This window comes from Homo sapiens, chromosome 4 (assembly GCF_000001405.40).
Source record: "Homo sapiens chromosome 4, GRCh38.p14 Primary Assembly".
Taxonomy (NCBI): domain Eukaryota; kingdom Metazoa; phylum Chordata; class Mammalia; order Primates; family Hominidae; genus Homo; species Homo sapiens.
Genome location: NC_000004.12, coordinates 75,478,630 through 75,493,950, shown reverse-complemented (window position 1 = coordinate 75,493,950; position 15,321 = coordinate 75,478,630). Strand labels below are relative to the sequence as shown.

At 33.1% G+C, this 15,321-nt stretch overlaps 1 protein-coding gene across 15 annotated transcripts in view; it reads left to right on the top strand.

The window, feature by feature from the left end:
* Positions 1–14,918, top strand: part of RCHY1 (ring finger and CHY zinc finger domain containing 1) — a 35,683-nt gene extending 20,765 nt beyond the window's left edge. For 7 of the 15 annotated variants that reach the window (NM_001387136.1, XM_047450036.1, NM_001278538.2 and 4 more), the window contains 5 exons: positions 2,018–2,062; positions 2,169–2,227; positions 2,314–2,340; positions 3,250–3,370; positions 11,285–14,918. In NM_001387136.1, coding sequence (NP_001374065.1) covers positions 2,018–2,062; positions 2,169–2,227; positions 2,314–2,340; positions 3,250–3,370; positions 11,285–11,413 — 381 coding nt within the window. In that variant the 3' untranslated portion in view covers positions 11,414–14,918. Of the gene's footprint in view, positions 1–2,017; positions 2,063–2,168; positions 2,228–2,313; positions 2,369–3,249; positions 3,371–11,284 lie in introns of all 15 variants that reach the window. The other 8 variants (XM_024453984.2, NM_001278537.2, NM_001009922.3 and 5 more) reach the window with 5 other exon arrangements.

The following is a 15,321-nucleotide window of genomic DNA, read 5'->3' as shown; positions in this document are numbered from 1 at the left end:
TTTTAAAATATGTACCTCAGAATATCTGACCTACAGTTCCTTTTCTTCTCTGTAGTGTAAGAATGCTTATATCACTTACTAGCATAATGTTGGCAACTTCCAAGTTAGTTTATGGATTCTTACCATTGGTACTGCTTTTAAGAATAACTTTAAAACAGGAGAAATACTGAATGGTGTAACCTAATTAGCACAACATTCTAAGAAAATTCAGAAAATATTTTACTATTTCTTTTTATAATTAAGACATACATATTTTAAATCTGGATGTAGGAATTATGTCACAATCCCAGGCCCTTTTTCATTATTTAAAAAAAAATCTAATAAAGTATTACATTATAGTACTGATTCTATCTACTGTAAGAATTTAATTAAGAGAATGGAGGATTGGTGTAAAGTGAAGTGTAAATCGTACTTGTTCAAGTATAGGAAATTCCAGATAAGGCAGAACAGTATAAGTAGCAACATTGTAGCTGTTGAGAGAGAGAGAGACAGATAGACATTAATTGGAAAGAGACTGTTTGAAATCATTTACTTAGCAGTATAGTAGGTTCGATAGAATATAAGAATAAGAAGTTATTGCAGAAATATAATATTAGCTAGAACTTGGCCTAAATAGTAAAGTGGTGAGGAAAATTGAGATGAATAATGAACATATATGATGTGGTAATGGTATTAAGGAAAAAGAATGAGGCAGAGTAAAGATGACTCTGAAGATTTTCAGCCCCAGCTTAAGGTACTTGATTAGTAGATTGTAAATTTTTTGAAGATAAAAGATTGAGTTTGGTTTTTAAACTTGAGTTTGGGGTGATGGCAAGCTATGCTAATGGAGATAGCCAGGAGTCAATAGTATCTTATAGATTACATTTCTATGATGTTCTGGTTTCCAAAGCATGTGTAGTGTGTGTGCACACACTAATTCATTGCATCCTCACCTCAGCATTTACATTCCATCAACTCAGAGATGCCACTGATGATCAGATATGTTGTAATTGTGGGGATGTTAAAATGTATGTGTGAGGTGCACTTTAGAATCAAATGAAATATGTATTAATTTTATTTTATAAATAAGAAACGTTAAGACTAAAGTGGTGGCTAGTCCAAAATCTCAAGGGCTGGTAAATAGCAGAGCTAGGATTACAGTCTAGATTTTTAAACTTACTATTAAGCTTATTATTTTGAGGGTTTTTCTCCCCACTATACTGTCATCTTTCAAAAACTTACATCTATTTTTTTGTTATGGTTTTTTTTGTTATGTTGTTTTTCAGTTATCTTTTATTGTCTATATTACTAAGTGGTCCTGCCATCTATTAAGTGCTTCCGTTAAAAACCTGGGAGTCTTCCATGGCACAGTGCTTTCCCTTACCTCCTTGGATTTAATCAGACATTACATCTTGTCAAATTAAGAACTCTGGCTCTGAAGTTAGCCTGCTGGAGCTCCAGTTTAATTCTGCCTCTTATTAATGTGTGACTTTGGAAGTTCCTTAGCTTCTCTAGGCCTCCACTGCTTTAACTGTAAAATGGTATAACAATCATAGCCTATTTCATCTAGGATTGTGAGATTTAATTGATCTTATACAGGTACTGTGCTGAACATGGCATGTAGTAAATTTCAATAATATGAACTATTATTACCAATATTATTAGTAAGTTGAGCTTACTAATTTAGGTCACTGGCTTTGGAGTAAAACATACATAATATGCAAAGGTTCCAAATCTTATTATCTTTGGATCTTGGGTAAGTGTCTTGAATTCCTAAGTCACTTTCCTTATTTGTGAAATGAAGGTAATCTCAATAATGTTTATTGACATTTTCATTGTATCAGATAATATGCCAAGCCTGAAATAGTGTGAGATTTAAATAACTATTAAAAAACTCTTCTTACATATAAAAAGCATATATTAATGTTAGCTATTATTTTTAGTAAGTTGGTTTTGTTAATTTTTATTATTAATATTTTTATACCTGACATTTTAATCTAGTTAAGCTTTTGTTAATGTGAATTTCTCTTTTAAACAGTGTATTGAAAATGTGTCCCGACAGAATTGTCCAATATGTTTGGAGGTAGGCTTAAAATATTTTTTACTTTGGAAGTCTCAGCTCTTGAATTTAAAATACTTGGATGTTTATATTGTCTTCATACAAGCACTAACATTTATTTCATTTACAGGACATTCACACATCCCGTGTTGTTGCTCATGTCTTGCCATGTGGACATCTTTTACATAGGTAAAGTAACATCTTTTTCTCAATGATGTTTGAAAATAGTGGAGACAGTTTTTGTTTTACTAAAATAATCTTATATTTTCTTTCAGAACGTGTTATGAAGAAATGTTGAAAGAGTGAGTGTTTGGGATTTTAAAAATAATTGTAAGATGTTTGACTTTTTTGTGTGTGTGGTGTGGGGAGGTGGACAAACATTGTTACTTATACTATATTGGGCATGGCAATATTTATATTGAAATGGGTAGGGTAGATGAATATTGTTAAAACAGGACAAAGTGTCTTGGATATAGAACTACACTTTTGCCATATGTTTCTCTTAAATCTTGTCTCCTCCCACAATTTGAGGTAGTTACCTCTTTTTTTTCTGGCCATATATACCAGGAAGTGCAGTTTTTGCCAGATGCAGTTATAGTGTTGTAAAAATGCTGAAAAATATTGCCAAAAATTTGTTAGGTTGTTATATTGGCCAAGTATAGTAAACTAAAAGAAAGTAGGTGAAGTGATCATTAAAGCTAAGACTTTATTAATGGAAAAGATATTAAAATTAGATGAAAATAATTGAAAAGAGAAGACTGTATTTTGGTCCTACATATTGATGAGCAAAAATGTGAAGAGCTAGAGAGAGCATTCTTTTTTTCAAATTTTTAGAAAGGAAATAATATCTGAATAATTTTAAACAAATACAGTCTCTTTACATGAGTGTATTAAGAAATTAAGGTTGTTTAGATAAGGAGTAGCTTAATTAGTTTATAAAAATATATGAAGTGTATTCTACAAAGAATATGGACTAATTCCTCTCCATTTTAGAGTACTGAGGAAAAAGACTTAGTTTTAAATAAGTATACAGGAATTAATTTAAAAGTTTTATAGTGTGAAAGTTCCCAGGTTCCTAAGAGATTATCTTGAAATGGAGGAAAATGCCTGTTTTGAATGGTTCATGTGGCAGTTAGCCTGCATCTTCTTGTATACCTGAATTAATATATTCTTGTTTAATATTTGGAAAATAACCTTTCTATCTCTTTCAGAGGCTACAGATGTCCATTATGTATGCACTCTGCTTTAGATATGACCAGGTATTGGAGACAGCTGGATGATGAAGTAGCACAGACTCCTATGCCATCAGAATATCAGAACATGACTGTGGATGTGAGTAGAATCAATACTTAAAACTTTGTAGACTCCTTGTTGGCACTCTTATTTTTGCCCTCCTGCTTGAATTTGCCAAAAAAAAAATATATATATACTGGTTTGACACAGATGCTAATGTGATGATTAATGGAAAGCACAAAATGATTTTTAAATTTTAGTTAAGTAGCTCAGATCGGGAAAAAAAAAGTCTTAAGAATACCTTTATGTAGTTTTTCCCAACACTAGATGGCAGGCAAAAACTTCATTCTGAATTGTTTACATATTACTTGCCAGAGTCAGTCAGTAATATAACTGACTAGGGTTGGATCACTGGTGGGACTTTTTAAGTACATTTTATTTTTAATTATTTTACATTTTATTTCAGGAGAACATATTTGCTGATTTTTGAGATTACGTTTTGGTTTTTAGTGTTTATTACCCTTTTTATTCCATCTTAGACTTATTTTTATGGAGTGCACACAGGAGACCCCTTTTTCACTTCTGTTGTTCACAGAATCATAAGCAAGGAACAAATTGAGAGATAAGAGTCATAATTACAGAGAAGTCTTGATTCATGATCTTGGGAAAAAACTGTCCACACTAAAATGCTGCTTGCTTCTGGGGAGAAACTTTCCTGGTTAACTTTGTCTTAAGGTCTCTCATGGGTGTCCACTTCCAAGAGTGTGGAGGGTCCCTTCTGAAATGTGAGATAATGAACCTAAGTTCAAAGTCCAGAAGCTTTAGTGTAGGTGGAAAAGGCAGTCTTTCTCTGATGTTGTTCTCAGAGACCCAGTCTCCAGATTCTAGATTGTGAAGGGTTTGATTGTTCTTAGTCATTGGACCATCAAAATTTTCTTTACTTGGTGAAAATACACTTTGGCATAATGCATAAAAGCCTTGCGGCATTTAGTCATATCAGAGTTTGGTAGTGGAAGATACATGAGATTCTATTTATTATTAGGTATACAGGCCTTCCAGTGATTATTTCGTAAGGGGTCAACTTACGTTTTCCACTCCAAGGGGATCTGATTACCATCAATCTGCAATATCTTTGACCAAGGCAATCCAGTCAATTCAGTTAGTTTTGCCTAATGCTATTGTATCTGTAGTATCTTATTTAACTATTTTACAACTTATCCAGTGAAATAAGTACCTGTGTCACTGGAGATTTCTCTAGGAATGTCCCATGAGAGAAACACATTTTATAATAACCTTTTAGGTACTGTAATAGAGTTAACCCTCTTGCATGGGATACCTTCTATACAACCAGAAAACATGCATTCAAAATGACAATTGAATGTAATCCTTCTATAAATACTTAAATGGCCCATCAGGTAGCAGAAATGTACGTGAAGTTTTGATTGTCTTCCCAGGATTATGGTTTCGACAAAGCAAACATTGGTCATAAATTATTTTAGCAATTTAGCAATATATATAAATTTTATATATACATGTAAAATTTGGAATATTTTATCTTTTCCATGATGAGCCATGGAATGCAGACTTTTTTTTTTTGTTTGTTTTAGACAGAGTCTTGCTCTTGTTGTGCAGCCTGGAGTGCAGTGGCACAATCTCGGCTCACTGCAACCTCTGCCTCCAGGGTTCAAGCGATTCTCCTGCCTCAGCCTCCCAAGTAGCTGGGATTACAGGTGCCCGCCACCACACCTGGCTAATTTTTGTATTTTTAGTAGAGTCGGTGTTTCGCCATGTTGGCCAGGCTGGTCTTGAACTCCTGACCTCGTGATCCACCCGCCTCGGTCTCCCAAAGTGCTGGGATTATAGGAGTGATGAGCCACCTTGCCTGGCTGGAATGCAGAACTTTTAATAATGGAAGCTTTAAGGATTTAGGAAGGGCCAGGTGGCTGTCCAGGTTCTCCATGAGTCCATGCTTAACATTGGATTTGTGTCCTCTTAAATACCAGGTTAGGTGCCTACCACTGATAACTGAAGGGTTATTATAGGTAATTTGACTTGGATTGTGGAATTGATTGAAATCTAAACAATTTCAGTACTGGCTGCTTTAGTGTGAAAATCTGGCAAAGTATTTTCTTGGTATTCAATCAATTTTTATCCTGCTTGGGTTGGCAGTTTTATAAACCAGTCAGTCTCTCCATTAGAGTTCTAGGAATTGTTATCCAGTCCAAGTCCTAAAGTTGTCAGAAGTCTATATTTAAGAGAGTTTGTCAGGGTCCTTTTCATCCTTTCATGAACCTCCTTGAAGACACAGTACTGTAGGATTTTGCTTGCTTGTCTAGTTTTCAGAGAAACTGCATCAGAATTAAGCAGTTAACTGTGGAAACAACTTAAAATGGTTATAGTTAAAGACATGATTGACAAGGAAATTTGGTTATTTCTGTGGCCTGCAATAACACAGTAACCATAATTAAGACTGATAGCATATACCCCGACATAAAGAATTTTAGAATCTCATATAATTTTGGAATAAATCTTAATAAAAATATAACACAAAGGTTAAATATCATTTCTTATTTGACAGTGCTTCCTATGTAATTTAACAGATCAAATAATCATTTTTTTCTCTTTTGAATACCGCAGGGGCCCTTTGTAGCATGCCAAAGTTAGAGGTAAAAAAAAAAGACTTAATTTTGAAGTTGAAATTTGATTTTGGGAAGCTTGTCAAGTGTGTCGAAGATTTAAAATACTTGACCAAAATAGGATCACATTTATATATATGAATATATATATGAATATATATATTATGAATATATATTATGAATATATATATTATGAATATATATTATGAATATATATATTATGAATATATATTATGAATATATATATGAATATATATATTATGAATATATATATGAATATATATATTATGAATATATATATGAATATATATTATGAATATATATATGAATATATATTATGAATATATATATGAATATATATATTATGAATATATATGAATATATATATTATGAATATATATGAATATATATATTATGAATATATATATTATGAATATATATGAATATATATTATGAATATATATATGAATATATATATTATGAATATATTATGAATATATATATTATGAATATATTATGAATATATATATTATGAATATATATATTATGAATATATATGACTATATATATTGTGAATATATATATGACTATATATATATTTATATATAGTCATTTATATAGCCAATATGAGAATTAACAGGTTTTAAAAAGCAAAAACCTTTACTCTTCGAAACTCAGTTTTCTAAACAATTAAAAGTCCTGAGACAGCGTGAGACAAAATCTGTTTCCCCTTGTCTCCTCTTTTTATTGTTTGAAATTTACCCAAAAGTAAACAAAAATATTTAACTGTCTTATTAATACTACATGAAATCTTTGTTCAAGAGAGAAAACCAGATTTTACTTTTGTATTGTTAGGACTAAAGCGAATTTTAATAAAACCTTGTAAACAAATCCATCCAATCTGTCAGTTTTTTACCACGTAAGATTTCCATAAATCTTTTATATTCCCTTATAAACTTTTAAAATTCTTTCTTTTGAACGTTCTGTATTTTAATCTACACTTTTTTATTCCTTCAATTTGAAACAACCGTTAAGTAACTTCAAACTAGACCAAAATTTTTTTTTTAGACGGAGTCTTTCTCTGTCACCCAGGCTGGAGTACAGTGGAGCAATCTTGGCTCACTGCAACCTCTGCCTCCAGGGTTTAAGCAATTCTTCTGCCTCAGCCTCCCGAGTAGCTGGGACTACAAGCGCACACCACTACGCCTGGCTAATTTTTGTACTTTTAGTAGAGACGGGGTTTCACTGTATTGGCCAGGCTGGTCTCAAACTCCTGACCTTGTGATCTACCCGCCTTGGCCTCCTTGGCCTCCTGAAGCTGAATTTTTTTAAATACATGCCTTTGCAACTTGTCTTACCAAAAGTATATCTTGCTTGTTTTTACACTCCTTATAGGGAATTGTTTTTCTTACATCTAGTAGTTTTAATTACATATATTAACTACAGTTTTAACTCTTAGTAATCCTAATTTCCAGTGAAAACCCTAGGAAGTAATTTTGAACTGTTTTGTATCAGTATTTATAGATGGAAGCCATTTTAATTTTTTGGAAGGATGTTTCCTTAAATTATTATTTATTAAGATATCTAAATATATTTAGTTTTTCTATACTATATAAAAATAAGATGCCAAAGTATATAAACTTAAACTTATAATTAATGTTTTAGCATTTTAACTTATAAATGACTTAAAAGTTTTATGATTATTTACTTAAACATATGACTATAAGATTTTAAATTACTGAAAAAAAATTTGAAATTAGGACACAGATGTACCCTCCCGAATGTTTTCTCAGTCATCTTGAGTCTCAAGTAGTCATATGTCAACCAGGAGGGCTATGAAGGGCAGAGCCTGTCTGAGTCCTGAATTTACGTACCACTTACAGAGCTTTGAACAGAAGACAGAGCTGTAAAGATGATGCTTGGAGGATGGAACCCCTCCTAGAATAGCCAGGAGGCAAAGCTAAGACAGGGAAGAAGAAGCTCTAGTGGGCTTGATTCTGCTTTGTAGCTACAGGTCTAGGCACTGAGAACATGTACCCAGGTCTCACCTAGCCAGACTTGAGAATCTAGAGGTTCAAAACCCAAAACAAGCTCACAGTCAAATCAAGCAAGTGTTGAATTATATTCAACAGACACCTCTGAAGCCATTCCTATTTACTAACAATATAAAAACTGGCTTTATTTACCAAATGTTATCACATACACATAACACCTATAGGAATACAGACACAGACAGAAGCAGATCTTAGAGCTTTCCTAAAGGATTCTCATTTGCTGGCTTTTAAATAGTTTTTCTATTCACCATTCAGACTATCAGTTTACCAATTAACCTGTTTCATTGCCCTAAGCAATTGTTAGCTAGGCAGCCCTAAATATGCATTTCTAAAGGGCCAATTCTTAGGTCAAACAAGGTAGAAAATGTATATCTCAAAAGCACACAGCTAAGACTTTAGACGTAAATATTGTACCATCATTTGCTCAAACCAAGGAAAAAATGGTGTGAGTAAAAGTTAAGACAAGATGGCCAGTCACCTTAAACAAAGGTATGACTTACTATATAAATTTAAAATAGTGATAAGAGTTCCTAATGTACACAGACACCTTTACAAATGTAAATTTCCTTTATAGATATAAATTGATTTTACCAAAAGGGTTTCAGGATAGCCTTCAGTATAGCCAGTTGAATGCCAGAAAGGTATACTTTAGTTCCATAGATCGTTTTTAAAAATTTAACTACTGTTTCTTAGCTAAAATTACTGAGTTCAGGGTGGAGCCCACTAAGACAGTAGGGGAAAGACAGCGTTCTTTTTTATTGTTTGCAGTTTACTCAGAAATTAAACAGAAGTATCTTAGTGTCCATGTCCATGCCTGGGCACAGTATGGATAGATCTGAAAAAGAGGCAAGTCAGCTTTACCTAAGGGCCTATATTTTATAAACATTTAATCCAGGCTAGCTTTCTTTTAGCCTTCAGGGCAGTATAGTAACTAAGCCAAAAGGCTAGTAGATTTAATTTGTCTTATCAGTTAGTTAAGCTTTTTATTTGCCTTTTAAAACATCTTTTTTTTAAGGCAATAAAAATATTGAAATATTTTTAGAAGCTTCACTCAATAGGCATTCTTAGATGAGTCTAATTTGGGAGCCCTCATTTTCAAATGCACTTTTTTTTTTGGTTTGGTTTTTAACAGCTTATGGCCATCATCAAATGCACTTCTTAAAGTGTAGTTTTAAGTGTTCATTTGGGACGTTCCATTATAATTTTAAATTACTTTTAGTAAGGTTTTGCCATTTCTATAAGCAAATGGCATTTTATCCTTCTATAAAATGTTTAAAAAGTGCTGCTTCTGGGGCCTAATACTTACACTTGTAAATGTAGGCAGAGCCAGAAGGTAGATTGCTCAGTTCTTCAGAAATTAAGGATCCCATTTTCACCTTGAATCTTGGCTTTGGCTCTCATATTTCCTTGGTAAACTTAACCAGTGATTTTTCTCTACTTAAATGTGCAAGAAGAAGAATTGAAGAGGGCAGGACACAAAAAACCCTGTGAATTTCCAAAAGCCAAAATTTGCACCCCCACCCCCTGCTGTTTTGCCATTTACTGTGCTTCTGCCCGACCCAGTCAGGCATAAGAGGTCTTTAGCTAGATCCAAGGCAGTTGGATCCTGGACCCAGTCCAGTTTTTGTTGCGACTTCTGAATTCAGTTCAGATAGAAAATGTGTTCAAAAAAACTTGGATAGCTCAAAACACAAATGCGCAGAGCTTTAGAATCTGAGAACTTACCATGATTCCTAATGGCTGCAAGAGAGCAGTGGACACAAAGGGCCTAACGGTACCTTACTGGGTCCCCTTGGTGCTCCTGGCGGTCACTGAAAGCTGTACTTCAAATCCCACTTCTGATGCCAGCTGTTTGAAGCAAAACCTTACACAAATTAAATTTAACAGAACTTAATTGAGAAACAGTTTGTGAATCAGGCAGCCCTGAACCAGAATAGATTCAGAGGGTCTTGACTTTCTTTATTTGGTTGCAATTAGCTTGCAACCTAAAGCATAAAAGGTTGTTTCTGTGCCTTTTGGCTTATGGAGAGTGATCATCTTTTTTCGTTTAATTAAGATGTGTTGCTGTCTCTTCTCAGCCATACATGGTATTGAGTTTTAGATTAGAATGGGAAAGCCTAGTATTCTGGCTAGATAATTTTTGGTTATATTACACATTTTCTGAACATCTTCAGATACTTCAGCATACGAGGATAAAAACCACGTAGCAAAGCCAAATGAAAATTATTTTTTGTTTTATTTACACTGGAGTGTTTCATAATTCATGTGGATAATTGTTAGGGCAATGAAAAATCACTTTTGGAATACTAACCGATAATCATGTGATTGACTAGAGGCCGAAGTGTGCTATGTTCCATGTAGATAATTTTTGGAAATAATGGCTTCATTAAGATACAATTCACATATTATATAGTTCATTCATTTAAATTGTACAATTTGGTGCTTTTTAAAATATTCATGTAGTTATGCAAACATCACCACAATTTTAGAACATTTTTATCATCCCAAAAAGGAAACACTCATACCCATTAGCAGTCATTCCCTAACGCCCCAGGCCTAGGCAACCACTAATCCACTTTCTCCATTTAGATCATATTTTTTAAATAATTATTTTCCAAATTATAATTTAGAGCAAATTTGGAAATTTTCTGCTTATTATAGTGTGACTATTCAAAAACTAGTGCTTTTCTTGCATAGTAATGTATTGATTTTCAGGTTAACACCTTTGTTATTTTTCAGGTTCTTACTTAGCACTAGAAGAAATTAATTCTTAAACGGCATCTTATTGTTATTGTAGGGATGAGCGAAGAGCCTCTCTGTTTACTCAATTTTAGGAACACTCTTTTTGGAATTTAATTCATTCCTAAGGCAGAGAAGACAGGGAACAGTATACTAAACCTAAAAAATAAGCAAAAATATTATTTGTGTAAAAATTTTGGTTTTATTAATTGAGATACATTTCTGACTGAAAAATAATGAAATCATGTTGTTATTTTGAATTATAAGTATCAGGTATTCATCTGATTATGCCTAGGTTAATTTTCTTGCTTGTACTATTTATACTATTTAATATTTGGAAACTATTTTAAAATAAGCTTTTTTTTTGCTCAAATCTGCCTTTTCATTTTCTGAATTCAGAGCCACCTTAATAGCTTTTTAGAGTTTTCAGTGAAAAAATAAGAAGAAATTTCTACTTTTGGAAATTTTTAGACTTATGTATGTATTTTCACATCTTTAATATGATTTTCAAGGGATTATGAGTAGACAATGCTACTTGTATTTATAAGGTTTAAAATACTTAATTTGAATTAATCTCTTTTCAGATTCTCTGCAATGACTGTAATGGACGATCCACTGTTCAGTTTCATATATTAGGCATGAAATGTAAGATTTGTGAATCCTATAATACTGCTCAAGCTGGAGGACGTAGAATTTCACTGGATCAGCAATGACGAGCCTACACAGTACTGGAGAACTTGGCATTTTCTGATATAGAAAAAGGCTTTCCTTGGTATCGTGTTATCATGTGTCGTCATCTATGCATTAGAGTTGATGTGTTTTGTACTAGTGTCACAGCATAAAATCATATTACAAGTACGTAAGGATTCAGGGTCTCTTGATAGACTTATCATAGCTCTATATTGAATGAAAGCCACTGTGCTTGTGTTTTGATTGGAAATTCCTTTAGTGTCAGTTTTTTGGAAGCCAATGATGTTTGCCACTGATACATTCATAGAAGTGTATTATATTTTCATGAAGCTTTGCTTTAAGTGACACTACGCGTGCAGTTCATTTCTAGTTCTTGATAGAACTGCACTTAATTTTCAGTAGTAGTCTTGACTTTTTAAGGGCTGTGTTATATTAAGTTCTCCCTTACTGTTAAAACCTAATTAAATATGCTTTAGAATTTTCTAAGACAGTCCTCTGGATCCTCTAAATGTGAATTTTGATGTAATAACTGCTAATAAAATTATATTGAAACTGTTTTATAGAAAGTTTTTTCCAAAGTTTTCTATGTTTGGCTCAATTAGGGCAGTATCATCAGTTCTATAATGTAAAAGAAATTTTCTTTCTTTTGAGGTATTCCATAAAAGTAGTTGGGAAAATTATTATGTAAAATAATAAGACTCTTCCAAAGCCTTAATAAAAACATCAACATTGAAAACAGTTTTTTTTAGGTTGCCCAAAATTATTTCTTCAAAGAGTCATTCATTCCTTCATTTAGCAAGTATTTATTGAGCAACTGCTATGTGGCAGATATGTTTCTAGATGCTGTAGAGACAACAGTGAACAATAAAGATAAAAGTCCTTGTCCTCACAGCAGTACATTCTATTGTTCATCATATTTGATCAATGTACTCATTTTTCTTTATGCAAGGAGTGGATGTCTTATTGTAAATGAATAGAATATTTCTTCCCTAAGCGTGTGAAAATAGGGGATGGATGAGTGGGAAGGGCATGGGATATTCCTGGCAAGATCTCTGATTTCATAATACTTTTTTGGGCTCATGTAGTGGAATTAAATATACCTCTTACTTCAGGAACAAAGTTAACAAATATGTTTGATGATCCAGCCGACTTTGACACTGTTATCTCCGTAATAGCTTTACCATTAGGCTAGGATGTAAAATGTACATTTATCAGTTGATAAGTACCTATTGAGCACCAGTTGTATTTCCAACTTTGAGCTATTTGAATCTTCTTTGAATAAGGAAGTTAGCCTTTTAACTAGAAAGCCTAAGAGTTCTGGCACATTTATTTCTTCTTTTGTTGAAATTTATTCACCTAGATAAAGGCAGCAGTTTGGGACTCAGATCTTTATTTTATCCCACCTTCTTGTCTTCTGTATTCCACTCTTCTTATGTTCTTTCCCTTCATCTGTTTCCTTGGCCTGGCCAGAGCAGCAGTGCTGATCTTCATTTGGGAAAGGATGTTCCTGGGTATTACCAATTAGTATACAGATAAGTAAAGACTAGTTTTCCAGATCTAATACTTTTTTTTGAAGTGGTTTTGCTCTGTCATTTAGGCTAGAGTGTAGTGAAGTGATCGTAGCTCACTGCAGCCTTGACTTCCTGGGCTGAACTGATCCTTCCACCTCAGCCTCCTGAGTAGCTGGGACTACAGGTGTGTGCCACCATGCCCAGCTAATTTTTAATTGTTTTGTAGAAACAAAGTCCAGGCTGGTCTTGAACTCCTGGGCTCAAGCATTTCTCCTACCTCGGCCTTCCAAGGGCTAGGATTACAGGCATGAGCCACTGTGCTTGGTCCAGATGTATTACTTTTTATGTTTGGTATTATTCTGCCAAACCAATCATGTTATTGTTTTTAATCATTGAATCATTGGATCTTTAAATAGGAGTGAGTATATAATAATAAGGCTCTTCTGTTTTCAACATCTGTGCTGGGTCATGCATTAGCATTAATTACTACAATGATTCTGTGGGGTAAGTGTTGTCCTCATAGACAAGAAAGCTGAGGTTTAGAGGTTAAAATGACACATTGGGGGTAAATAACAGACACTATATGTTGGAGTTGGGAATCAGATCCAAGTTTGACTCCAAACCCACTTTTACCACATTGCTTTTGATCTAAACTTCTATTTTGCTAAAATACCCCTCACAGCTAGTCATCCATATCATTGAAGCGCTCATGATTTGATAGATTAACCTTTCATTTTTTTAGGTGACTCTAGTTAGAAAGTCTTATTTCACAATCTGATTGTTTCTTTAACTTAGGATCCAAACATGTCCAAAATAATGCAGAGTACATATGCAATCACTCGTTTATGCTGTCTAGTCATGCACTTAAAGCAATTTTCAAATGTACTCAAAGTCTCTAGGCTTCGGTACCCAGGGTTGCTTCAAGTATTTGTTCATGACACGTCAACTCGATGATTAAAATCCTTCAACACTTCTCATTCACAATAAGAATAAAATCTACATCCCTTACCATTCAGTATGCAAAACTTAAAATACATAACTTTACCCTTAAATATTTTTTCTTTCTCTGACTTCATAAGTATAGGTTATACCTCTATAAGAAAGAAGGTAAAAAACTCTCAACAATCCCTTCTTTCAGAGAGAACTACTGTTAACATTTTAACAGACAACTTCATTCTTTTCCTATTCTTTTTTATAATGCTTACAGGAATGTTAAATACTTAGACAGATCTTAAGTACACTAGAATTATCTGTCCCTGAAATAAGTTAGGTTGCCCTGCCGCAGAATTTGTATCTATAGTTTATTTGGATTATTTTTGAAAAAAGTAAAATAACAATACCCTTACGAATTTTTTGGTGCATAGCATCTCAGCTTCTTTTATCATTAAAGATGTATGTATAAAAAAAAAATGAGTGTATATCAAGTTGTTCATTTCTTAGTTTCTGGGGTCTTCTTAACCAGTACATAGAACTCTTTATGAATTAACTTTAGCTTATGTTGGAAGTAGTAGTTTGTTTATAGTGTCATGGATTTTAAAATCAAACTCAGTTTTTATTTCTTCACTAAAACCTATTTTCATATGATATACATGTTAAATTTCCCTTTTATTTTGGTCATGCATCAAAATAAATTTACTAAGTACTAAAGAGCCAACATTATTTTATAAGTGCCTGGCAATAGGTATTCACTAGTTGAATAGTTTAATTTGAAATGAATTAATTTTAAATGGGAGTTGTTCAAAACTATGCCACTTTTTCTTTTGTCCTTTGTGTTATTAAAATTTAATTGATAATTGTGTATATTATATATATGGAGTACAATGTGATGTTTTGATATATGTTTACAGTGTAGAATGATTAAATCAATGTAATAAATTTATTGCCTCATACCATTTTTTGTGGTAAAAAAACCACTTAAAATCTACTCTTAATATTTTTGAAATGTACAATGCATTATTTATTATACTCACCATTCTGTGTAATAGATCAGTAAAGTTTATTCCTCTTGTCTAACTGATATTTTGTACCCTTTGATCAGCATCTCCCCTTTTCCCATCCACTTCTCTCTCCCAGCCTCTGGTAACCACCATTCTACTTCTATGAATTCACCTTTTTTTTAGATTGCACAGATAGCTGAGATCACATAGTATTTACCTTTTTGTGCCTGGGTTATTTCATTTAGTATAATGTCTTCCAGGTTCCTGTCACAAGTGACAGGATTTCTTTCTTTTATAGGGCTGAATAGTATTCCATTGAGTATATATGCCACATTTTGTTTTCATTCATATGATGATGGACATTAAGATTGCTTCCATATCTTAGCTGTTGTGAATAATGCTGCAGTGAACGTGGTGGTACAGATACCTCTTTGACACACTGACTTCAGTTCCTTTAGCTATATGTCCAGAAGTGGGATTGCT